This window comes from Homo sapiens, chromosome 13 (genome assembly GCF_000001405.40).
Source record: "Homo sapiens chromosome 13, GRCh38.p14 Primary Assembly".
Lineage (NCBI taxonomy): Eukaryota > Metazoa > Chordata > Mammalia > Primates > Hominidae > Homo > Homo sapiens.
The window spans coordinates 23,978,396-24,005,429 of NC_000013.11; the positions used below are offsets into that span (position 1 = coordinate 23,978,396).

A 27,034-nucleotide genomic window follows, 5' to 3' on the forward strand; every position below is an offset into this window, starting at 1 on the left:
AGCACCACTTTTTTCTTAAAATCTCTTTGTGGTAATGCAGCTACTTCAGCTTTCTGATGCTTTCTTATGTTTCCATGGTATGCGTTTTTTCATTCTTTTACTTTCGACTCATTTGTACTTTTGCATTTAAATAGCATCTTTTGTAGACAGCACATACGTTCTTGTTTTTATTAATATATTCCACCTGCTAATCTCTGTCTTTTGGTTCGACTGTTTCATCTATTTATATTTACTTTTTTTTCAGGGATGGAGTTTCTCTGTTGCCCAGGCTGGAGTGCTGTTCACAGGTCTCCTAACATTCTCTATTTGTCTTTTTTTGTTTGTTTTTGAGACAGGGTCTCATTTTGTGGAGTGCAGTGGTACAGTCACAGCTCGCTGCAACCTCAACCTCCTGGGCTCAAGCGATCTTCCCTCCTCAACCACTGGAGCAGCTGGAGTACAAGCATGCAGCACCACACCCAACTAATTAAAAAAATTTTTTTTTTTGGTAGAGATGGCGGTCTTGCTATGTCTCCCAGCTGCTCTTGAACTCCTGGCCTCACCTTGGCCTCCCAAAATGCTGGGATTATAGGCATGAGGCACCATGCCAGCCCTCTGTTTTTCAATTGAATACTTTCTATTGGTCTATCTTCAAGTTCACCAATGAATTCTGTCACCTACATTCTGCTACTGAGCCCACATAGTGATCTTTTATATATTGTTACTTTCTAATTTCCTTTGTATCTAATAGTTTAACAATTGATTATCTTGGGATATAATTATATCATCTTCCAGTCATGATAATTTTACCACCTGCTATGGTTTGAATGTATCTGCTAAAGTTCACGTGTTGGAAACTTGATTCCCACTTCAGTCAGGATCTCTTTGAAATTAAGAAGTGTGTGTGTGAGTGTGTGTGTGTGTGTGTGTGTGTCCTTGCTGCCTGAGGGTGGAGGAAGAAATTGTGAACAGGAATCCTGTATTTGCTTGTCTGTGTCAGGGGAAAAGAATTATACCCCAATTCTTTTCCGCTGATCCTCAAGCCTGGGAAATTTTAAAGGAGATGGGAAACGACCCCGCCTTCTTATGAATATGCAACAGTAAGGGGTTGGGAGAAGGGAGAGAAAAGGCCTGCAAGAAATTCACCCCAGGTCCTCCTGCTCCGGGCTCAGCCCGGGCCCCCCACCGTCCTACCCACGAAGAACAGCAAACAATAGCACAGCCCCGGCCCTGGAAGCCGAGCTAGCCGCAGAGGGTGATGCGGAACTGCTCATCGCCAGGGAAACGCGGCATTCGGACAGCCGTCCAGAGCCTGTCTGAGTTCTGCTGGGCGGGGAGCCAGAGACTGATTCGCTGCGGTCCTGGGCCCAGCGGCTGGGAGGTCCCGCCCTGGCCGAGGAAATGAAGAGGGCGCAGGGCATGGGGGCGGCGCGCACCCGGGACAGTTTCCAGTCGGCTTCTCCGTGACCTTCCTCCCCCTTCCAGCTCGGAGCGGGATGCTGGGATCCCTCCAAGGACCCTCTGAGGACGTAGGAGGGATGCTGAGACAGGCAAGTGGGATTTCTCTACATATTGTCACCTCGCCCGCACTTTTGGAGAAGGTAGAGCCAAGCAGCATTTGGCCGAAATCCTGTGCCCGTGGAACATTTTTTTCCTGAAGTGGGGGGTGAAAGTTGATGATCAGCGGCTCCGGGTAGGAGAAGGGATAGAGCTATAGGTGCGGTGAGGTTAGAGAAGTTGTCATGGCCGAGCTTGCAGTGAGCCGAGATCGCGCCACTCCATCCTCGGCGACAGAGCGAGACTCCGTCTCAAAAAAAAAAGAAGAAAAGAAAAGTTGCCGCGGCCCCAGCAGGCTCAAGGGGTGAGCGCATAGGGGCGCCGGGGCAGTAGTTGCACAAAGCCAGCCTGGCGGTCGCGTTGCCATGGCAGCGGGGGAGGGGCCGAGCCGCAGCGTGGCTGTGTTGCCGGGCGACGGAGGAGCCGCGGGGGAGGCCGAAATCTCCCGGTGCTCAGCGTCACTGCGTGAGCCCCCACTCTGATGCTTCGTTGGTGTGTGTGTCTGTCGGTGTCAATCCACAGTCCGCTGGCAGCCTCTGTCACTTGGTTAGGGAATAAACTATCACCTACTTAATACCTTAATGCTCTGCTTTTGAAAATATTTGGATTGTGGTGTTATGGAAGACATGAACAAGAATAGTACTCCTACTTAACGAAGTTTTGTTTTGTTTTGTTCGTTTTGAGACAGTCTTACTTTGTCGCCCAGGTTGGAGGGCAGTGGCGGATCTTAGCTCACTGAAACCTCTGCCTCCCGGGTTCAAGCGATTCTCCTGCCTCACCCTCCCGAGTAGCTGGGATTACAGGCGGCCGTCGCTACACAAGGCTAATTTTTGTATTTTTAATAGAGAAAGGGTTTCACCATAATGGCCAGGCTGGTCTCAAACTCCTGACCTCAGGTGATCCGCCCGCCTCGGCCTCCCTAAGTGCTGGGATTAGAAGCTTGAGCCACTGCGCCTGGCCAACAAAGTTTTTTAAAAAATACGTTGTATTTCCTCGTTTTTAAGGTAGCATCTACTGATGGGAGTTCCTTAATTATCATTTAAAAAGTAAAGTACAGAACCAGATTTGGATCCACGAAACGAATTGTTCCTCAGCTTTTCAAACATACTAACCAAAAACATTTGCAAAAGAAAAATATATAAAGCCGGTAGCAGTACTAAATATTAGGCCCAGCACTAAAAATGCAGACAGTTCTACTGTTGGAAAGATGGCGACTTTCACAAAGGACTAGAGAGCATCAGCCTCATTTTATTTCTATGGGTATTTTCATACATGGAGATGTGCTAGGTGATTTTGTCTTACTATGTCAAAGATTACTTGTTTTAGCCATATACCATAGGAAAAAAAAAATGTCAAGGGGTTCGAATGATCTTTTTTAGAGCAGTTTTTTTGTAGCTACAATAGTACTTCTATTTTACAAATTATGTTATTTGTTTACTCAGATACTCATTCATCAAACATTTACTGAGGCTCTACTATGTGCTGTGTACAGTGCTAGACTTGAGAGCAGAGAGATAAGTGGTGAGAAGAACATACAAAACTGAATTAGAAAAATTCACAGTTTCGGGAGCCGGAAATGCTAGGAAGCAGTTGTAAACCACTGTGGTACATTCTCATTGTGAGATGCCACCAGGACAGCCCCTGCTACTGGCCAGGGCCTCAGGTACACAGACCACAGCTGAGCTTGGAACTTCATTTGCGTTGTGGGTTTTGCTCTTTCAAGGCAGGCATTTTTGGACCCATTTAAAATAGAAGGAGTCCAGCACTCAGAGAAGTGCGGTGATAAGCCTCATGTCTCACGGCCAGTCAGGCTCAAGATCCAAAAGCCACTGCTATGACATATATTTTGGAACATTCGCCCTTTGATCATTAAATCCTCACTACCTGAATGACTATATTTTTTGATCATTCATAATGGTAAGTGAATTTCTTAAAAACAATAACTGTGATGCAATTTTCTTTTTGGTTGAGATCTGAAGTCACGTATTTCTAAAATCAGATACCAATTGCATTCTGAAGATGTGTTCTTCCAACTGGAATGTTGTCATTGTCAATAATACTTTTTCCAGGGGTTCCTGGGAAGTAAATGAGAAAATTTAAATTTGGTTATTCATGATTTTAAAACATGTAAAGATGTGTGTGTTTTAAAGTACTGTGTTTAATAAATCGCTATAGCATTAGATTTGTTTAAAGCAAAATACACTAGTTATCATTTAAGTTTTTATTAACTTTTTAAATTTTTTGTCAGATTTCTTACTTTCCACTTGCAGCCACATTAGAGAGGTCATAGGAAAAATTTCTACCTAGAAAGTTCAGGTATGGACCTGGCTGGTCCTGCATGAAGACTTTGCTATGCATTTTCCACTGCAGCCTGGGAAACCTCTTTGAACTAATTTTATAAGCTATTTTACTGTTAAAATTTTATTTTTTCAAATAGATTGCAGAATCCCTGAAGGCAAGGACCAGGTCTTCTGTGTCTTTAGAATTCTCTTCATAATACTAAATACAACACTCTTCATAAATATTAACTGGCAGAAAAAGCAAAAATAAACTTTACCGGACTGATGAAAACTAGAGTAGAACTAATACTTTTATAGATACTATCCTGAGTCACAGAAGTTTTGCTTATTTGCTGATTTTTTTTTCATTAAACTCTACTGTGAAATGCTAGGGAGTACCTATTTCATAGGTAGAAAAACTGAGTTGTAGTGATTAGCATATGAAATATTTTTCAATGCATTATCTTCATTGAGCCTTACAACAACCACTCAGGAATTCACATCACCATTTTTTAAATATGTGAGAAAACAGAAGCTCAGAGAAGTTGAACGAGTCAGACAGGGTCACCCAGAAAGGAAGAGGTGCATCTTCTGACCGTGTCACATGATTTTTATTCTGCCATTGCAAACCAGGTACACGTGTGAGCTTCGGGAGGCTGGGTCTCCCACCAGCCCTGGAGTGCTAGGTGCAAGATCCCTTCTCTCCCTCACCTCCTCAAGGCTGCTCTGCCGTCTGGGAAGAAGGTGAGAGAAACTCTTTCAAAAGACAAAGGGGCAGGGCCAGTGAAAGGAGGAGCTGGAGAGGGGCTCCCTGGAGCAAAATGAAGTGAGATTGAGAAGGAAGAGTCAAGTGAAGTTGATCGAAAACCAGCCACTGTTCAAAAATGGGAGTGAGGGGTTGGGAGAGAGTGTCTTTGTTCGGGCTGCCATCACAAAACACCACAGCCTGGGGGCTTAAGTGACAGACCTTGATTGTCCCAGTGCTGGGGGCTGGTAGTCCGAGATCAAGGAGTCTGCAGGGATGGTTTTTTCTGACGCCGCGCTCCTTGGCTCACAAACAACTGCCTTCTTACTGCGTCTTCACGTGGTCATCCTTCTATATTGTCTGTGTCCTAATCTCTGCTTATAAGGACACCAGTCATACTGGATTAGAGCCCACCCATATGACCTCATTATACCTCAATTACCGCTATGAAGGCCCTATCTCCAAACACAGTCCCATTCTGAGGTACTGGAGTCAGGACTTCATCCTGTGAATTTTGAGCCCAGAGCAGAGAATTTTTAAAAAGTGGACACTGATCTGTGACTTTGAAGACAAAACCTGTTGACCTGTTTCAATTGCTTTGTTATTCTCATTAGTATTTTCTCTTAGCACAAATAAATGGTTGAGCAAATAGTGGCCATTTATTTTTACACTAGTATATTCTGTTGGTTGTTTTTTTTTTTTAAAAAACATCCAGAACTGAATTCTATATCTAGCTTGCTTCATAATTTATTTTCACTCTCATCTCTGCAGGGCCAGCTTCAAACCTTGTCAAGCTCTGACAAGGGAAGATGAAGCCTAGTTCCAGCTAGGGGTGACCTGTCTATCTGCATTTTTTGAGCTGCAGAGTGATGGGAGTCATATTCGCTGCCTGTGCAGCACCACAGGCCTGATGAAAATGAAATGGCAACACCGTGCAGATGGCAAAGCGTAGGCCTCACAAACATCCTGGCCGTGAAGGTAAGTTGAGCAACTTTCTGCCTGCATGGCATTATCCATGCTTATTTCTAACAAGATACCTATGGCAGAGTATTTCAGGCTGTTTGTGAAGGGCAGCCAGTAGAATTTGAAGGTTTTCACTGAGGCATTGAGCAACTAACAAGGGTGTAATTGGAACGTGTGGCAAGAACTCCAATTGTTAAAATATGTGGTCATAAAATGATAGGGTCTAGGGCGAAGCCTGCAGGTCTTGTGGTCAGTATCTTGCCCTTGGCTGGACTACATAGTGTCTGTTTTGTAAAGGTAGAAATCAATACTGTGTTTCAAGTCAGCTAAAGAAGAAGGTTCCAGAGTCTTCTGCCACAGAAGTTTCGGTATTCACCAGTCATCAGAGTCTCAAAGTACTTGTGTTTGTCTCCTTAACTTCCTTCATTACTTTATATTCTGCCTTCAAAGGGAGGGAGAGTAGTCTTCTATTTTATCCATCATTTGCTGAAAGAATTATATGAGGTTGCTTCTTGGCTCTTCTCTGTAAGTTGAATAGAAACCGTGTGCATTGTTCTAGGAATCTGTTTCTATCATGGCCCCGCGCAGCACCTGTCCTTCCCACCGTGAGTGGTGGAGCTGTGGTCTGTGTCATCCTCGCATTTCCAACCCCAGTCATACCCCTTTACTTTTAAGTGTGAGGCCCCGGATGAAATTCTGCAGTATCCCTGCTGAAGAGCAGGGCTCCAATGCACCTGGTGGAGCTTTTCCAAGGAACACGGAAAGTGTTCGGAATGCACTGCTTGGACAAGATCCAGCAGCTTTCCTTGATCGGTGCTTTCAGAAACAGGTTCTTGTGTAGAACAGCTACGGGTATCCCAGCCAAAAAAGACTGCCTATTTCTGAGAGCTGTGCATACTTAATTAGAACAGGGATTGGTGCCAGCACTTGGAGTTTGAAAAGTCAGCTTTGAACATGAATGCAAGTCCCTGCAAGGTAGAATGGTCTGTTTCTCCTTATTTGAGCCAGAAATCTGTGTAACCGGCCGGCGTGCACATCACATGGCACAGATTCAGGAGGTGAGCTGGTCTCTTCAGTTGCTGCTTTTATAGCAGCTTTTAATCAAAATGCTCACCTCAGACGCACCCTCCTCAAATTAAGGAACAGAATAACCAAACACAGATGTGTAAAGAGTGAGGGAAAACAGTTGTTCTGGCTGTTGATGACTTCCTCAGGCGTGGGCATAGTGAAATGCCCTTTCTTCCCGTCTGCTACCGAAGATGGCAATGACGTTGAGTGGCTTGGAAATTCAAACCACTCAACAAGTATTGACCAGTCACTCCCTGTATACTCAGTGCTGACAGGGGCATGAAATGTGTCACGACCTTTCTTCCTGAGTAGTTTATGATCCTGCTGAGGGTGAGCACACACAGGGAATCATGGGAAAGGTTGTGTCATGGCGTGGCCACCCCAGGAACGGCTGATGTGGGGGCTCAGTGGCCAGAGGCCCAGATCCTCCCCTGCTGTGGCTTCTTTCCTCTTACCTGGGTCTCCTGCATGTTCACATCACCCCATCCCCAATCCAGGCTCTGTCCCATTTTTCAGCTCAGGGTCTTCCTCCAGTCCGGTGAGAGTGGTTCAGGAAATCCTAGCTCTGGTTGTGTCTGCCCCAGTGTGAGTCTGGCTGTGGGGTTTCAAGCCTTATCTTCCTGGAGGAATTTCATCAGGGTCTGAAGGAAATATAAGAGGGACTGGGCTGAAGAAGAGGAAGAGAAGGCTGTCTTTCTTCATTATTGATAGTAGTCGTAAATCATTGGAAAGTCCTAAAAGACTGCCTGAGTGTTCATTTCCAGGACAGAAGGATACACAGGCAACATAAGAATATAAGACTGTGTTGAGGGCAACAGCAGGGCAAAGGAGAAAAGTGCTGGTCACAACCCTAGATGGTGACTGAAGAGAGGACAACAGCCAGCGGTCCATACGCTGAGACGGATGGGAGAAGAGACACACAGGGACGAGGAAGCCAGCCTGGGTACTAAGTATCCCCTGGATTAGCTGCAAGTGCGCTTCTCCTCACCCGCGGACCTCAGCTCTTCCCTTCATGATATCAGCAGTGATCTGGAGCTGGAGGAGTCCCCAGGGAGAAGGGAGTGCAGCTGTCGCTCATTCCACCCTTCCTGGCATTTCAAGTTGGAATAATAAATGCAGTTCTGGTGTGTTAGGTTTGCAAGTGTTTTTAGCATACCATGGTCTCGCATGTACACATTAGGTATTTCGGCTCGCCCAGGGACCTAGTCATTGTATAACCTCTTTCTAAGGAAACTATATGCCAAATTCCAAACAAGCAAAATGTTATTTTTCTTGTGCAAAGCCTTTGTATCTTGAAAATTGGGGCATCTAAGAATTTTATTTAGATAACAAGACAGAGATCAGAATGGGCCAGAGGAGCGTCAGGAGACCTGGGTGCAAGTCTTGCATAAATGCTTATCGAGCCAAATTCCCAGAGATTTACATGTGTTATCTGCAGGAAGAGGGTTTTGATTAGTTTTTAAGGTCCCTTCTGCTCCTTCTAAAAACCAGCCTAAAATGGAACATGTCTTCTCTAAGAATCCCAAATGCCTCTCAAGGATCAACCCCTTGGCCTTTTATCCAGGAGTCCCCTAGTGTCTCTAGGAAGCTGCAAGGATGATGGTATCTCCATTTTTACACACAAGGTTGGGAAAGTCTGCCTGGGAAAATGTTTAGAGGTGTGGATTTCTCACCTTTAATTTATCTTTTTGGTTTGCTCCTTTGTGAGATAGCATTGTCTTCAGCTGCTCTTGGCTATGATGTCTTAGCTGTAAGATCTTAGCCTTGAGAAAGAGCATCGGGGCCATACAGCAGTCATTTGGCCACAGGAATTTCAGTCACGTCAGGCTGTTTTTGCTGTTGTATTCCATCTCAGACCCAGATGTCTGCAGTTTCCTCAGATTGGAAACATCATGGGATCTCGTTGTGCAAGGAGTTCAGCATATTGAGAGTGAAGCACAATCACCTACCATTTTACATTATGGGAAATTTGACAAGTTTCAAATCTTGTTATTTTAGAGGTGAATGGATATATCTGTGTGTGTGTGTGTGTGTGTGTGTGTGTGTGTGTGTGTTACTACTCCACATGGGGCAGGCCTACCCCATAGGCAGTGGATTGATATTTTAAATGAACTAGAGGATTGAAACCTACACTGAACCTGTTAGTAAAATGAGACATTCATTTATAATGAAAGCAGATCTCTTAGTTTATGGGATGGATAATCTTGGGGTCTTATTTAGCAGGTTTTCTTTCAGTGGTTGTGTCTCTATTTAGATAGCTAATGTGGTATTTCAGAAAATATTTTCATGGCTAGCTATTAGAATATGTCTATGACCGGGAAATGAGGAGCCACACTGCTTGTAAAATACTTACATTTTCAGTGGATAAAAGATAGCTTGAATAATGTAAAAATCAATAGTTCCCATGATGGTGGAGTTATATTCTTTGGAGAAAAGTTTAAGTACTTCTAAGGTTAAATATTATGTTCATTACTCTTAGCTCTGGGAATCTGCCAAAATTATTTTTGCAGCCTTGTTTATATTTAGCCAACATAGGCAGTCAGCCACTGAATTAAGCATTTTTTTCTCCAAAAGACCTGATTTTGCCAATAAGAATTTGGTTATGCAATTATGTGTTGACTAATTAGAAGGTAAAAGCCCCGGATTTGAAAAGTTTGGTGTTTTATTTACCATTTTTAAGTGTGCAGTTCAGCGGCATTCAGCACATTCACATTATTGTGCAACCTTCACCTCCATCCATCTGCAGAACTCTTTTTATTTTACACAATTGGAATTCCCACTCCCCTCTCCAACCCCTGGCAACCACCATTCTACTTTCTGTCTCTATGAATTTGGCTACTCTAGGTACCTCTTACAAGCGGATTCTATAGTATTTGCCCTTTAGTATCTGGCTTATTTCACATAACGCAACGTTCTTAAGGCCCAGGTATGTTGTGGCATATGTCAGAATTTTGTTTCTCTTTTTTTTTTTTTTTGAGACAGAGCCTCACTCTGTCACCCAGGCTGGAGTGCAGTGGCACTGTCACAGTTTACTGCAACCTGTGTCTGCTGAGTTCAGGCAATTCTCCTGCCTCAGCCTCCTGAGTAGCTGGGATTACAGGCACCTACCACCACGTCTGGTTAATTTTTGTGTTTTTTAGTAGAGACGGGGTTTCACTGTGTTGGCCAGGCTGGTCTTGAACTCCTGACCCCTCAGGTGATCTGCCTGCCTTGGCCTCCTGAAGTGCTGGGATTACAGGCGTGAGCCACTGCGCCCAGCCAATTTTGTTCCTTTTTAAGGCTGAGTAATATTCCATAATGTGTATATACCACATTTTGTTTATTCATTCACCTGCTGATGGAAATTTGGGTGGTCTTCACTGTTTTAAATCTTTTCAGTGGTATTCTGGCCTCATGGTATTCTGTGCTATGGTGATAACATATTACATAAACCAGTTCTCTGTGGATAGGCTTTCAGTTTTTTCCATGCTTCTATGAATAACTGTGAACTTAAACCATTTCACACATGTGCAAGCATGTTGGTCAATCAGAATTATTGATATTGATTTGCTGAGAAGAACGTTTTGGGCACATTAAATTTTGGATGCTGATGAATTTCCTTCTGTGGAGATTGTACCAATTCATGTGTCCTTTATAAAGAATCTGTCTCCCAAGCCCTCACCAACGAAGCAAAAAATTCCTTCATCTTTGCTCATCTCATGATGGAAAATGGTGTCTCAGTGTGGTTTTAGTTTACATTTCTCCTATTTTGAATGAACTCTGAATGTTTCAGGGACATTGTATTTCTTTTACTGCAACTATCTGTTCATTTCCTTTGTTCATTTGTCAGTCGGGCTGTTGGGTTTTTCTCCCCCCTCTTCTTTATATTGGCTGTTGTTGAAAAATGTCCTTTTGTTTGGCATCCCTAGTGTGCAGCCTGTGGGAGTCTTTGGGGGCTCTCCTATGAAACAGGAGCTTTGTCTGAGAATTAGTAAAACCTGCTTTTCAACACCATTGATCAAATACTGGCTCGGTGACAGTAGGTTTTATTAAGGGGAGAGTCCAGTGCAGTAGTCCATTTACTGAAATGGTTCATATGCTGAAGAAAGAATATCTTTGTGAGAAAGTTATAAAAATTTCTAGTCTCACAATGTGTTTTAATGTTAAGATTTACTTGGCTGGGCGCGGTGGCTCATGCCTGTAATCCCAGCACTTTGGGAGGCCGAGGCAGGTGGATCATGAGGTCAGGATTTCGAGACTAGCCTGACCAACATGGTGAAACCCCGTCTCTACTAAAAATACAAAAAGTAGCCAGGAGTAGTAGCATGCGCCTGTAGTCCCAGCTACTCAGGAGGCTGAGGAAGGAGAATTGCTTCAACCTGGGAGGTAGAGGTTGCAATGAGCCGAGATCACGCCACTGCACTCCAGCCTGGGTGACAGAGTGAGATTTCATCTCAAAAAAAAAAAAGATTTACTCAAGTTATCTTTTAAAAGTTGAATACATAAACGTAAGTAGCTTGGTATGAACTGAAAAAAACAACCCAAAATAGCGTATTATTAAATATCATTTGCTAAGCTCATGCAGCTAACTGCATACTGGAAAACTCAAACTCAACATGCCCCACTCTGAACTCATCCCTCTGACCCACAGAGTAACGTCCCAGTTCCTGAGTTTGCTGTCTTGCTTCTCCACATACCTATCTACTCTTTTCTGTATTATTCTCTACATTATTGCCATGGGCGGAAAGTTTGTGTCCCCCTAAAATTCTATGCTGAAATCTAACCCCCAATGTGATGGTATCAGAAGTGAGGCCTTGGGAAGTGATTAGATCATGAGGACAGAAGCCTGATGAACAGGGTTGGTGCCCTCAGAAAAGAGGCCCCAGAGAGCTGTCTTGCCACTTCCACTATGTGAGGATGCAGTGAGATGGTACCATCTGTGAGCCAGAAAGTGGGCACCCACCAGACATTGAATCTGTGGATACTTTGATCTTTGACTTCCCAGCCTCCAGAACTGTCAGAGATAAATATCTGTTGTTTATAAGCCACCCAGGTTATGGTATTTTGTTACAGCAGCCCAAACAGAGTAAGACAACTGCCAACCAGTTCCACCTAAACAGTCTCTCCAGTGTCCAGTGTGTCCACCACCCTGCACCTGGTCACCACCATCTTGTTGAGATGCCACCCAATCCCTGCTGGATTCCCTCAGCCACCTCCAGCTGTGTTGTTGCCTTCAGACTTTTCCACATTCAGCAGTTTTATGATCTGTCACCAAGAGGAGTTTATGAAATGCAACTCTCTGGTTTTGTAAAACCATATCCCTGGCCAAAACCCTTTGATGGCCACCACTCCCCCAGAATAAAGCTCAAACTTATTAGCATGGCCTCTGGACTGGCATGCCCTGGCTCACTCCCTCTGTTTCCTTGCTCATTGCCCCCTCCTTCCTACACTCCACTGTTCCCAATAGTGATTTCTCAATTCCTTAAACTCAGGGTGCTCCCTTGTTTCAGCACCTTTGAATCTGCTCCTTTTTCTGGAATGTTCTCCCTTGTTCCACTTCCCAGTCTTCACCAACCTGAGCAGCTCTATTCCTTCTTCCTCTAGCAAGTCTTGCCCAACACTCCCCAGCCTGGTTTAGTGGATTCTTCTCAGATCCAGCATGTCCCTTAGCTTGCAAATTGCCCTATGCTATAATTGTCTACTTCCTTGTATAAAAGGGTGCACCCCACGAAGCTGTAAATGCCCAGGGAGCAGGATCACATCTACCTTGTTTCCCGTGATCACCCAGAACCTAACATATTGATTGCTCATAAACATCTGTTGATGGATGACTGTTGACAGATGGCTGGAGAACTAAAGGAGAATGCCTTCTGGAAATGGGATGTGACTGGGTGCCAGTGGCTTGTGATAGTATCACACATTCAGAGTCTTGGGATGAGACCCTGAGTGTCTTCCCCACAAATCCTGAAACCTGTGTGGCAAGAAGAGAAAGCTGAGTTGGCTGAAGTTTTATTTGCCTGGTGTACCCCTGGCCTTGTGAGAAAGACAGTGAAAGAAGATGAAGCCCGCTCAAGGTTAAGATCAGGCAGAGGAGAAACAGACACCTGCTTAACTGTCCTGGCAGAGTCCCAGGCAGGGCGGCAGCTCCCTGAGTGGAGAAGGGGCACACAAACTTAAGGCAGAGATCCTGGTCAGGGCTGGTGAGGAAGGGATGGATTCGGAATGCAGCATCACTCAAATTGCCTTCAAGGGCAGCCCGTCTAAGAACCTGTGCTGTCTTTTCTTTGTAATACATTCGTGTCCCTCTCTGAGATGTAAGTGTGGTTTGGGGCTGATTCAGGGCAATAAATCCTGTGTTTGCAGAATGTAGTCACTGATTTGGGACTTAGGGTCTAATCAGTATGCAGTCCAGTAAAAATAGCAAAGGTCATATTTTACTGCACTCTGTCTGAAGTAAGCAAACTTTCAGCTGAAGACACTCTCAGATGACTTCTTTTCTTGCTCCTCTTTTCTCCTTGAAAATTTACAGGGAATGTTGTGGTCATAAGGAACTTCTCCCTCACTGGGCTTCATGCTGCAAAGTTAGCGAGCCCCGGCCCGCAGTGTCCAGCTGTCTTTGCTATTACTGCCTTCTTTTCTCCAATGCATTGATAAGACTCATGTTCATAGCAAGTCCAGCACCGTGCATATTGTGCACATTTGTGAAAAATTGTTCAAGAAGTAAATATACTTCTCAGCCCCTAACACCAAGAGGACAACAGAGTAATCATCCCACAGTGACCTTCATTTGTAGACAATCAGATTAGGGAGACTCTGAGTTGGGGGCAGGTGGGCTGGGGTTGGGAGGTGGGTGAGTGGGTTGCTTTCTGTATTGTTTCTGAGAAGAAAAATCTTCCATGCCAAGCAGTGGTGAATGAGACTGTTCACTCAGGCTTTGGTATAGTGCAATGTGGAAAGCCACCCCAAATGGGAAGAGGACACGGTGATGAAGATCATGGGGTTATTGTAATGATTGGCACTGCCATTGTTGAGTGGTTACTACAAGCCAAGCCCTCTGCTAAATATTTCACATGGATTATTTTATGTAACCCTCACAAAACCTAGGAAGTGAGTTAGAATAGTGAGGCCCATTTGCAGTGAGATTTCTGAGATCCAGAACCACCCTCCCTGACACTCCTCAAGTCTGGGTTCTTGGTAGAAAGTGGAGAACTGCAGTCCAACCATGTGCTGTCAACCCAGGGACCTGCTGCCTCCATCAGTGTCCAGGAGGTCTGAGTCTAGCTTTGTTCCTAATAGCTGTGTGACCTTGTGTACTTAGGTCTCTGTGCTTCAGAGCAGCATGAGGTATATAAGGTTGTTGTGAAAATTATATAAAATAAGGCATGTATTAGTTAGGGTGATACTAAGTCCTGTAGTAAAGCCCAACATTTTGGTGGCTTGCCACAATAAAAATTTACCGCCTGGATACAGACCATTGCAGGTGTGTCTGATCGGTGGCAGGTGCTGGTGGTGGTGGATGGCTCTGCTCCACGAAGTCTTCAGGGATCTAGGCTAATGAAGGCTTTGTATCTTTGATGTGTGATTTCCAGGACCATTACACCCACAGACCAGAGAAGAATGTTGGCAGGGGTAGTCCCATGTATGATGAGGTCTGAAGGGTCAATTTCCGGGACTCTCTTTAAGAAATGAACACAAAGTGGTCCATGTGCTACAGCCCCTCCCTGAGCTTGAAAGGGGCCCTGCAGGAGAGGGATCCTGCAAGCCTAGGATTCATTAGCTTCCTGGCAAACTCACATCCATAGTTGGATGGAACTTGGGGACATGGCCACGTTTGGCTCCACAATGCTGGGAAACACTGTCTAGACTGTCCGAAATAGATGACTGCTGGCAGCTGCTGCCATGTGTGTAAAGTGCTTCTAACAGTGCCTGGCACGGCAAGAGCTAAGAAGTGTCAGCTACTATTCTTCTGTTTACAATGCAGCATGGGAATTTCCATCAAGCCAGCTGTGCCCTGAGAGCTGCCTGTCATATTTTCACCAACATGCTCTGGGCATCATATTATGTGCCTGGGCTCGGTCCAGGCTGCTGTGCTTTCAGAAAAGCCTGGAAGCATCAGCAGAGATGGGTTTAAAAGTCCACAGTCTAAGTCGCTACATAAGGAGCAATGAACCTGCTGTGGCGAAGGTCGTGGACAGAGTGTCCCAAGGCTTGGCCCACTGTGGCAGCTGGGGTTCCTAAGCCTGGCACTTTGCAACTGCAGAATCACAGCTGCTGCCTCAGAGCATCGCTGATCAGCCCAGTTACATCTGTAGTCCAAGGCAGTGGCTTTCAACTGTTTCTTTTCCATAGACCATGACATTTTAATTAATGGTTTTAGTTGATCTGCCACTAACTAGTGTGTGACTGAAGTAAGTGGTGTTAAAGTGCTGTTCTTCCTAGCAGTGTACTACCCACATCATCAAACATATTTCCCTTGTCTGCACATTTACGGCAATAAGGCTTCTCTGCAAATAAGAGAAAGCATGCACCTCTCAGAAGAGTGATGTTGTTTCACAGATGTCAAATGCTTGATGCCAGTTTCTGCCAAGGACGTTCTCGGCCCAGCACCTGATACCATGTGCATGTGGCCTGTCCATGCCCCAGCCCTTCCCACAGACCCCTGCGTGACATTGTTGGACCATGGATTCAAACCCACAGGCTAGGATAAGTGAGAATTTACCTAGGAAAGCCCATCCTTTGGCTAGAGGGAGAGGAAGCATCCAGGCTTGCTTTTTAAGGGGATCTCTAGGTACTTTCCCATAAAACTCCCCATCCAGCTGTAAACCACCCCTGCTCACAGCAGGCAGTATTTATGCAGGCTGAGGGTGAGGTCATTGCATATTCCAACAACAGATTTGTCTGGGAAATTAAATTTGCTTATGTTCAAGGTATGTGTGAGGGTGCAGCCAGCTGGGGTGAGCGATGATTCCCTGAAGTCTGGGAAGTGGTGGGTGATGGTGGTGGTGTTTTTTTTTTTTTTTCTTTTTTTTTTTTGACAAGTAACAAGGAGTTACAATGAAATGTCCTTCTCAATTATGAAGTGATTGCCACGCATTGGCGTCACAGCCTGTTCTTGCCAGTGACGGATATTCTTGTCATTCTTACAGTTTTGGGGTAAAGGAAATGTACTCCTGGCCTTCTAAATTCCAACTCAGAAAAATGTTCTAAAGGAAACACTACTGTGAAAGGATTAGGGACTTAGACTGCTCCATAAAAGTACCTTTGACCAAACCTATGGCAAAACTATAATTAAAAAGATATTGTGTAGGGTCATGTTCATTGGTAAGAATTTGAAACATATCTCATGTAGTATGAATGGAGCTTCAGTTCTCAGATGGAGCTTCAGCTATTGTATAGAGGGTGGAATGAGACAATCTTGCCATGGCTTCAGAGAGCACAATGAGGGTGGAAGCTGGAGGATGAGGTATCATCCTTAACAAGGGCAGAACTTTCTGTTAGAATAGAAGCAGAGGTGTTGGGGAGGAGGTTCGTGTGTGGGACTGGCCGGCATGACTGCAGGTGCCTTTCAGGCCCTGGATGCTGAGATCCTCTAAGTGTTGGGTAGGTCCCGCTAATTATCCACAACTAGGAGCCTGTCTTTAATGACCACACGTGGGACATGTTGAAGTTTTCTGTTCATCATTGAGTAATGAAGGTGAGAAAAGACTAAAATGAGTATAGAGTGCTGTTTTTTTAACCTCTGCAATATTGGGGTCTGTGTAGAGGAATAAAGAGCACTCAGTTTTGGAAACAGAAGAGTAGAATTCTAATAGTCAGTAGGCAGTAGATTCTTCCTCCCTTAGAGTCATCAAGAAAATGGCTTGTAACCAAGCCCTACATTTTAGGCCAAAAGGCAGATTAAAAGTTAAAAGCATATCAGCACACTGTTATGAAGCATTTGCTGTAAACAGGTGAATTGGTGTAGCTCAGCATTCTGAACTAGGGGTGATTTTACCTCCCAGGGGACATCTGGCAGTGTCTGGAGATGGTTTTGAGTGTCGTGACTGTGTGTGTGATGCTGTTCCTGACGTCTAGTGGGTAGAGGCCAGGGATGCAGCTAAACATCTCACCATACACAGGACAGCCCCCAAACACAATGTCCAAAAATGTCAGTAGTGCCAAGGTTCGGGAACCCTGACATCCTTAAGAGCCTGAAGATACATGCCAATCTCATTTGCTTATGTAACACTACAAAAAAAATTGCATGTTAAAATTATTTATCATACTTAGCTGATCTTCTGATTTTATCCCTAGAAAGACAAAGGTGTGATCTTTGAACACAGGTAAATCAAAGACAATTTTGTTTTTCCTGTTTGGCTTAATCAAATCCAAGTGATGAATCCCATTGAACGGGATTTGACATTAACATCAATATCACTGGGCCTTGGTTTTTGAACTTGTTATTATTTCTGACTTATTTTTAAATAACTGATTATGCTGATAACTTAAAATGAATGCAGCCCAGATGGGAAGGAAATAACAGAGGTCAGGTCTGGCAGGGGCCCTAATTGGCAGCCGTTTTTAGCTCAAAACAGATGAAATCTCCATATCGACTGAGGTTTTCCCTTTGAGATAAAAATGTGAGGTCATGGAATTTCATCTGTATCTGATATGCATTTTCATATCTATAATCAAATCTAATTTTGTAATCTGGAAAGTTTTGATTCTTCTTACCAAAATCTCCTGAAAAAATTAGGCAGAGAAATAGAGGGGGTTGTGTTAATTAATGTATTGATTTGCAAATGAGAGCAAAAGATCTAACTCTTTGAAACGTGTAGAGAATGGTGAGAAGGGCATAAAAATTCAGATAAGCCATGTTTCCTGAGAACTGGGGAAGGGTGAGGCTGCCTTGAACTGCGTGGAGGAAGTGGTCATCTTTTATTCTGAGTACTAATTGGACCCTGATAGCATGTGTTTTGTCTCTGCCTGAGCTTCCTGTTTAAGGAAAGACTTGAAGAGCTAGAGAGACAACCGAGCAGATAGATATGGGACCTGTGAGACACAGAGAACTCAGGTTGCTCATTCCAGAAGAGAACAGACCCTAACAGTGTGTTGGAGTCTCTGAGGAAATGAAGGGTTTTTGGTAGGTTACGAATTAGTTTTCTCTTGCTGCTGTAACAAGTTCCCAGGAACCTAATGGGATTATTATCTCATATTTCAGGGGTCAGGAGTCCAAAGTGGGCTTCACTGGGCTGACTCAAGGATTGCTTTCCTTCTGAGGCCATGAGGGAGAGTCCGCCGCCTTGCCTTTCCACCTTCTAGAGTTTTAACACTAGAGTTTGCAAATGAGAAGAAAAGATCTAACTCTTCGAAAAGTGTAGAGAATGGTGAGAAGGGCATAAAATTCAGATAAGCCAGAGAAGAAAGGCTTTCAGCAAATTAAATTCAGCAGAGTTCAATTGGGCAAAAAACGATCTGCAAATCAGTCTCCAGAACCAGAAGAGGTTCAGAGTGACTGAACTGGGGCTGTCACATGGTCAGATAATATTTATGGACAGAGGAAAGAAAGTCACCTAAGAAAATGAAGTGATGTGCAGAAACAGCTGGGTTGGTCACAGCTGGGCTCTTGCCTTATCTGAACAAGTTTTAATGGTTGGCCACCTGTGCTTGGCTGATTGGCTGAGATTTGGCTACTGATTAAAAGAGTAGCTTACAGGAGGATGTTTACACATCAATGAGGTTACAGTTCACTATGCACAAGAAGCCTTGAGGCCAAACTTAAAATATGTGAGGAGGCAGCTTTAGGCCACACATAATTTAACAAGAGGCTGCCAGCGTTCCTTGGCTTGTGGCCCCTCCTCCATCTCCAGAGCCAGCAGTCGCCTCCCTCTGACCTCTGCTTTTATTGTCAGTCTCCTTCTCAGGCTCCCCAGCCACTCTCTTTCCCTTATAAGGATCCTTGTGCTCACAGTGGCCCTCTCAGATCATCTTGGAGGCAGGGGCTGCTTTTCCCAACTTATAAGCAGGAGAATGTGGCTGAGAGAGCCCATTGCTCTTCCCAGTGCCCCATTTCTCTTAAGAACAGCTAATAATGGAATAACAAGTTTTCATCCTGGGCTTCTAATCACTCTTGTAAGGGTCAGTCACGATTGATAGAAATATCTGGGCTCTTGAATATGATGACTTTTCTGCTTAAACAACCATCAGTTTCAACTGAAAATACTGTGAGCAGAAATGGTTTCCATTTTTATCTTTTCTTCATTTGTTAAGGTATAATGGGCATAGAATGCACATATTGAAAGTGTACACTGTGGTACATATGTGTATACTCACCACAATCAAAACCATGTCCATATTCATCACCACCAAAAGTAGAACACGCATGTCCCCTGTGATCCGACCGTCCCCATACCCACATTCCCAGGCAAACTCCGATGCTTCCTATCACTATAAGTTAGTTACATTTTCTAGAATTTTATACAAAAGAAATCATATACTATGAAATCTTTTTACTTCATTCAGCATAATTTGAGATTTATCCATGTCTTTCCATGTATCACTAGTTCATGGCTTTTCATTGCTTAGTAGTTATATTAGTCCATTTTGCATTGCTATAGAGAAATACCTGAGACTGGGTAATTTATAAAGAGGAGGTTTATTTGGCTCATGCTTCTGCAGGTTATACAGGAAGCATCAGACCCGCATCTGCTTCTGTTGAGGCCTCAGGAAGCTTCTAATTACAGTGGAAGGTGAAGGGGGAGCAGGCGTGTCACATGGCAAGAGAGGGAACAAGGGAGTGAGGGGGAGGTGCCAGCCTCTATAAACAACCAGCTCTCTTCTGAACTAATAGAGGAGAGCTCACTCATTACCATGAGAGGGTACCAAGCCACTCATGAGGGATCCACCCTCATGAGCCAAACACTTCCCACTAGGCCCCATCTCCAACACTAGGGATCATATTTGAATATCAGTCTTGGAGGGGACAAACTATATTGATAGTATTCCATTGTTCATGCAGCCAGTTGGGAATGAACATTGGATTGTTTCTGGTCTTGGGCTATGATGAGTAAAGCTGCTACAGGAATTCAGTTTCAGGTCTTTGTGTGGACAAATGTACTCTTTTCTTCCAGGGTAGTATCTAGGTACAAATGACTAGGTCATGTGATATGTACGTTTAACTTTTTTAGAAACTACCAAACTGTTTTCTGAAGTCTTTGCACCATTTCACTTTCTCAACAGCAGTGAATGTTCCCACCCTAGGATGTTCCAGTTACTTTACATTCTCAACAGCACTTGGAATCATCAGTTTAAAATATTTTAGCCATTCTAAAGGTATGTAGTGGTATCTTGGAGTAGTTTTAATTTGCATTTTCTTAATGACTAATGACATTGAGCTTTTTTCTTGTTCTTATTTTCCATCTTTATCTTCTTTCATGAAATGTCTATCCAAATCTTTTGTCCATTTTTATCAGGTTGTTTTCATGTTATTGCAGTTGAGAGTGTTTTATAAACATGCTCTGGATAAAAGATCTTTATCAGATATGTGGTTTACAAATGTTTTCTCCCTGACTGTGGCTTATCATTTAATTTTCTTAACAGTGTCTTTTGAAAAACAGAAGTTTTAAATTTTGATGAAATCCAGTTTGTCAGTTGTTTTCTTTTAGGGATCGTGATTTTTTGCTGTATTTGTGAAATCTTTTCCTAACACATGGTTACAATGTTTTTCTTCTATGTGTTCTTACAGAAGTTTTGTATAGCTAGGTTTTACATTTAGGTCTATGATTCATTTTCAGTTAATTTTTATATGTGGCCTGAGATATGGATTCAGGTTCATTTTTCTTGCACATGAACATCCATCTGTTCCAGCATCATTTGGTGAAAAAATGATTCTTGTCCATTGAATTATCTTTGCATTTTCATTAAAAATCAATTGGCTTTATATTTGTGTTCAGTGATCAATTTTCCATCTTTTCACTAACTTTGGTTTTTTTTTTTTTTTGAGATGGAGTCTTGCTGTGTCACCCAGGCTGGAGTGAAGTGGCACAGTCTCTGTTTACTGCAACCTCTGCCTCCCATGTTCAAGCAATTCTTACGCCTCAGCCTCCCAAGTAGCTGGGATTACAGGCACATGCCACCATTTCAGGCTAACTTTTTGTATTGTTAGTAGAGATGGGGTTTTGCCATGTTGGCCAGGCTGGTCTCGAACTCCTGACTTCAAGTGATCCACCTGCCTCGGCCTCCCAAAGTGCTGGGATTACAGGCATGAGCCACTGCACCCAGCCTAATGTTGATTTTCTTGATAACTGGTTTTATAAGTCTCAAAATCAAGTGCTATAGGTCCTCCATTTTTTTCCAAGTCTGTTTTGGTCATTCTAGGCACTTTGCATTTCCATGTGTTTTAGAAACAGATCCTCATTTTCTACCAAAAAAAAAAAAAAAAAAAAAGCCTGTTCGGATATTGATTAGCATTGTGTAGAATATTTAGACCAATTTGAGAAGATTTGGCATATTAACAATATTGAATCTTCCAACCCATCATACAGTCTATCTCTCATTTTATTTTGCCTGAACAGCAGGTGATAGTTTTAAGTGTACAGACCTTGACCTTGTGGGACTCCCAACTCCATCTGGAGTCAGGGAGATCTCCAGGCTCAGGGTGGATTCTTCTGCCTGAGCTGCAGCCTGGAAACCTCCAGGCAATAACTGGGGAAGCCAAAGGCTCAGGGTATTTGTTTCTGCCTCTCAGAGATTACTCTCAAGTCTGGCCTGGCATCTAATGTTTGAAAACTGGTGTTTCTTATATTTAGGTTGCTTTTATTTTCAGTGAGAGGGTAAATATGGTTCCTATTACTTCATTTTTTTAAGAATCAGAAATCCTCTTTTTCACTCTTTATAGCAGACTTCCCCTATTTAGATACTTATGCAAAGCAAATGCAAAGTAGCTCTGTTATTGTTAATATTACTGGCCAAATACCTGAATTGCAGCAAAGCTGATGGTTAACTTGCCAGGCCTGAAAGACAAGCAGTGTAGTAGAATATAGTCAAAAACGATCTGGCCTATAAACATGAAAAATAGTGCTTGCCCTCATTAGTTATCACCAATATGCATATTAAAACCACACAAAGATGGCATTTCACACCGAGGATGGTGAGGTAAGAAACCTAGTGGGAGGGTTAGATGTTGATCAAATGAGCACAAAATCAAATACAGAATGTCAGCTGTGGTGGTCTAGAAAGGAGAAGGACATTGTGCCCTGAAAGAGAACAACAGAGGGCTTGACCTGGCCTAGGGGCTGGGAAGCCTTCACTGAGGAAGTGTAGGTCTTGGGGCAGCTGAGGCATGAGTAAGAGTTTAACCAGGCTGATACAAAGATAGAAAAGGTTTCAAAGGGAGCAGCAGGCGACAAAGTCCAGTGATGGAGAATATGGAAGGCGTGGGGAGCCCAGTGAAAGACAGTGCTGGGCGGTGAGGTGTCTAAGCCAGACAGCTCTTGGTGGGGAGGAACCTTCCAGACACCACACAAGGAATGACTTTCAGGGCAGATAGAGCCCTTGCCATCCCCAAACCTGCCTTCTAGGGGGAAGACAGGCCACAAACCAAGCACACGGCAACAACATAAGATGTTTGCTAATGTGATCCAGTCTATGAAGTGGTGGAGAAGACGGCCCAAGAAGGATTCTCAGGAAAGGGCAACAGGACATGCAGAAGCCCTGTGGGGAAAGAGGCTTGTGTTCAAGAAAGGGAATTCAGGAAAGCCTTGGGTTAGAGGTGTGAATTTGGGAGAGCTCTGGGTCAGAGGCATGAATTTGGGAGAGCCCTGGGCTAGACATTTGAATTCTGGAGAGCTGTGGGTCAGAGGTTTGAATTCGGGAGAACCCTGGGTGAGAGGTGTGAATTTGGGAGAGCCCTGGATGAGAAGTGTAAATTCGGCAGAGCCTTGGGTGAGGTGTGAATTCGGGAGATTCCCTGGGTCAGAGGTGTGAATTTGGGACTGGACAGTGTTTACTTCCTAGGCTGCTGTAACATAGCACCACTGTTTTTCAGCTTCTCCCCACTCCGAGTTCTTGGCTGCTGTGCTCTGTGTTTCCCCCTTGTTCACTCCCCTCACCCCCTGTCCTCCTTGGCTACTATTATTATGATCTGACACAGTTCTTCCAGGCTGGCCGAGTGGCCTCTTCTACTCTCACCCCCTACTCTCTCCAGGTAATGTCATCCAGGCTCACAGCCACATTACATTTTAAGGTTACAGTAGAGCAGAAGTAGTCACATATACAAGAACACGGGGGAAAGTAACAGTGTTACATCGCTGAGGTGGAGGGTGAGCAGGTGAGTGGCATGAGAGGAGGTGACGCCTCTGCGCTAAGGTCAGGATGCCGGGGATAATGTGTCTCGTGGGAAGGCTGCAGGAGTGGAGGTTGGGGGAGTGTCTGGGGACACCTGCTTCTTCTGAGAAGGAGGGTGTGAGAGAGGTGAGGTGTGAGAGAGGGTGGGGTTCGGTGGGGCTGGAAGTTTGAGGAGAGTGGAGATTGCGTTAAGGAGTGGCGGTGGAGAGGGGAGAATGAGCTGGCGGGGAAAGGCAGGAGGGTGGCCGGGCTGGCTGCCGTGTCTGTTAGGGTCAATCCCATGAATGCCCCTGTGTCCTGATGGTGATGCTTCCCAGGAGACCCTAGCAGAGACCCACCAGGGCACCACACTCATCCCAGTGACTTGGGTGGGAAGCAGGAGGGGTGAGGAGTTTTGGATACTGGCAGGGATGTTCAATGATGGCCGTGGATATGGAGGGAAATGAAGAAAGAGAACCTGATGGGTTGAAGAAGTAAAAAGAGTCAGCACTGGGTGGGGGCCGGGAGGTGAGGGAGCAGGGGTGAGGACTGAGCAGGTGATCTGTGGGGAGAGGCTCCGGCACTGACCCCAGAGATTCAAACAGTGATTTCAGAAGATGAGGCTGGAGTGTGGCTGTGGGAAGGATGGTGAGATAAAGGGGACATGGGAGGTGAGGAGGAGACTGCATGGCCACAATGTCACTCATGTAGACATTGAAGTCACCCAGGGGGCGGGTGGGAGCAGAGGTGGATGGTGCACTGTGAGCCACATGTCAACATCTTACATGGCCGAGAGGGAGTGACGAGAGGTCACTGTGCAGTGGCAGAGGTGGGGTCAGGTACATGTTTGAGGCATGGGCTTCAAAAAAGCAGTGTCATAGCTTTTGACCTCTGTCACATGAGGTCATTTACAAGCAGAGGTCTAAGATGATGGTCATGTATGTGTCCATCCACCTATTCAATAGCTCACTGTAACACTATGCCTGTGATTGAAAAACCGTGTTGGTGAACATGTTGAATGACAGGTATCTACCAGTCTCCATGTTGGGCTTGCAGGCAGGAGGTAGATGAAAACGTTCTGTCGTCTTGGAGTGTTCAGAGTCAGAAGCATTGACAAACGAATTCGAGTAGGAGGGAAATGTCACAGTCGCTCTGCATTCCATAGAGAGGGGACAGAGTGACACACTCTGGGGGAAGGAGTAGAGGAGCTGGTGGTGGTTGTGTCTGAAAGCACGGTTGGCTTAGGGAAACACCAGATCGGCCTCAGTGGCCTGAGGCCTGGTCAGGGGGGTGAGTGTGTTGGTCTTTGAGTCTCCCCATCCCTCCTGGTTGGACTGACTAGACTGCAGGAGCTTCACGAATTCACCAGTTCCTGGAGTCTCCTTGGAATAGGACTGCCGCAAGCCTCGTCCGGCTCCTTGAGGAAGGAAGAGCATCCAGTGCACCTGTGACCCCCCGAGCACAAGCACTGGCTGTACCCTCTGATGGAAACAGGTTTCCTACCCGCTGCTGCTCTGCAGTCCTTACTTGGCAGGCACGGACGTAGAACCCATCCAGCTCTGTCTTTCCCCATACACAGTGTTGTAAAATCAAACTCATTGGTCATCCCTGGGTGATTGGGCCCTATTGGAACCTTCGCTTCTGATGTCCTTAGAAGTGGCTCAATGAAATATTTTTCTTTTTCTGAATGTGGGGGGTGAACAGAGAAAATTGCCATCATTTGTTCTTCTTCTGTTAATTCTCCCTATGATCTCAGGCCAGGAGTGTATGGGCAGACAGTTCCCTGTGGCCATTGACTCAGTCTTCCGAACTACAGCATTTGCCCTTTTATTCAAAATCCCATCTGTCTGGTTTTCAATGGTTCTGTCTGTAGCATTTTCCCCACGCTGGTCTATAAATGCAGGGGTGTGTGTGTGTGTGTATGGATGCTTAGATGTACCTATAGATAGAAAGGGGAGTGCCTAGGCCAGATCACTCAGAGAAGGTGTTGGATTAAGCCATTTTGATGTTTCCATTACAGAAATCCTAAACTAAGCACAGCTTCTCTGACACCAGTAACAATTTCATTACTGAGCCATGAGATAACAGCAGGTTTACAAGAGAAGGTGGTAAAAAGATTGAGAATTCAAATAATGAATGGAGTGCACACAGGAAAGGGTACTGTGCATGTCTTCATGAGGAACCTGAATTAAGGCTGCTGTGCCACAAAGCAAGTAATGCGTAATTTTTTCTTTGGAAGCATGTAAAGGCTTTAAGATAACAAGTTTCTCTTAAGAAAACCTAGGATTTTAAAAGAAACAGAACTAAGATTAGAACCTTCATCGTGTATTCAGTTCTTTTCGTATTATATTAGTAGTAATGAATACAGATTTAATTGCATATAATGCATTTCAAGCAATTTTAGATTGAAGCAGAGTATTATGACTGTAGAAAGTCCATTTTTTAACTAATGCAAAATATTTGCAAAAGTATTTGTCTTTACGTTATACATCAGCCATTATCCATTATAGTAATGATTTTAAAATACTTCCTTTTTGTTCTATACTTGATTTGACTCACATATTTAATACAATATTAGAGACGTGGGAAAAAACACAATATACATCAGCAAATACAGAACCCATTAAACAAGAACCAATACAGCAGAAGTCCCTTTTCAGCCACACTCCCCCTCCTCCTGCAGCATTGTTTTGTACACTTGCTTCATATACATACACACAGAAACAGCACTTATTACTATTGTCTTTTAAATATAGAAGTTGACTCTTGTCTCCTTGCATAGTTCCTGGTGGGCACTCCTGGGCTTTGGTCTGTCCTCAAGGTCGTTCAGGGACTTGGGTTCCTTCCTAGGGTAGCATGTCTCTGTCTTTGGTGAAACACGGCTTTAAAAAATCTCCAAAGCATCATGAACCCCGAGTTTGTAAATTTCATAAAGAAAGATGAATTATTAGAAGATGAAATTGAAAAGCAGATACACAATTTTGCTCTGCAGTCATCAGTCAATAAAGAGTCAGGAGTGAAATCCCGGTTCTTGTACCAACACCTATCTGCGCACTTTGAACAGATACCATTTACGGCAGTGTTGACAGTTAGTGTGGCAACTGTGCTTACTTATTGTTAGATTTCTCTCATCCAGGTTGGATGGACCACAGTATATTTGTTTATTTCCCGGCTCTCTAGTTCTCTAGGAAAACCAAGGGGTTTTCTTAGCTCTGTGGCCATCCAGGGGTGAGGGGCTCCTCACAGGGGCGCAGACGGGACTCAGGGAGGGTAGGGCTGCCCCCTTATGAAGGTGCTCCTTCCTTGGGAGTTCTCCTGGGTGTCCTGGAGCTGGCTGTGGGCAACAGACCCTGCCCCAGGAAGACGCAGGTGTGGTCAGCACAGTGCATCAATTAAATCAATTCCGAGACTGCTCCATACACACAGGGCTGAAAATTTACATTCCATACGATTTATCTTCCCAAATTATGTTCAGTCACAGTATCCGTGAAAGCTGTGGGAGAGTCTACAGTGACAGTAGGCTAATAATAGTAAGATGCAAAAGGATACTCAGCAAAATGCCAGCCACCTGAGACCCCCACATTAAACCACAAACCCTTCCCATTATCAAATTTGCAGTGAAAGCTTAAATTGCACATCTTGGCTTTAGCTGTCCTATTATCATCACAATCTATTTACTGTCTGTGAGAATAAATCAAATGAATTCATTGTGCACATCTGAAAATGAATCTACATTCCCTTTTACATGGCTACTTTTTCATGACATATAGGTTATCTTTGCCACATTGCTTTCCATTTTAAAAGAGCTAAGAGTTTCTCAAAGTAAGTACTTTTCTGAGAGTCCTTAATTTGGAAGAACTCTGCTTTCTCTGAGTCGCTAGGGGAGAAGTTAACAGATGCTGAAAGATGACATCAGCATTTAATTGCAAATCAGTTCTGTTTTCTGGTAGCCTGGCTATTGTGCTCACATTTGAAAACTGTTTTGATTCTTAAATTTTTACCGTGTTTGCTAAATCTGGATAGATTATGAAGTCACATTCCTAAAAGATACTTGTATGTTTAGAGGCGAGAATTGGAGATCTTCAATGAATTGGAGGGTTGCCTTGCTTCTTAGACCACAGAAGCAGCTCAGGAATATAGTGCTCACCTGGTGCCTAGCAGG

At 44.2% G+C, this 27,034-nt stretch overlaps 1 protein-coding gene across 2 annotated transcripts in view; it reads left to right on the plus strand.

The window, feature by feature from the left end:
- Positions 1–1,406: 1,406 nt before the first annotated feature.
- The window catches only part of SPATA13 (spermatogenesis associated 13), a 327,268-nt gene continuing 301,640 nt past the window's right edge, over positions 1,407–27,034 (plus strand). For both annotated transcript variants that reach the window (NR_104595.2, NM_001286792.2), the window contains exons 1-2: positions 1,407–1,529; positions 5,332–5,538. Coding sequence is in view for 1 of the 2 variants with exons in the window: in NM_001286792.2 (NP_001273721.1) it covers positions 5,499–5,538 (40 nt within the window). In the remaining variant the exon portion in view is untranslated. The remainder of the gene's footprint in view (positions 1,530–5,331; positions 5,539–27,034) is intronic.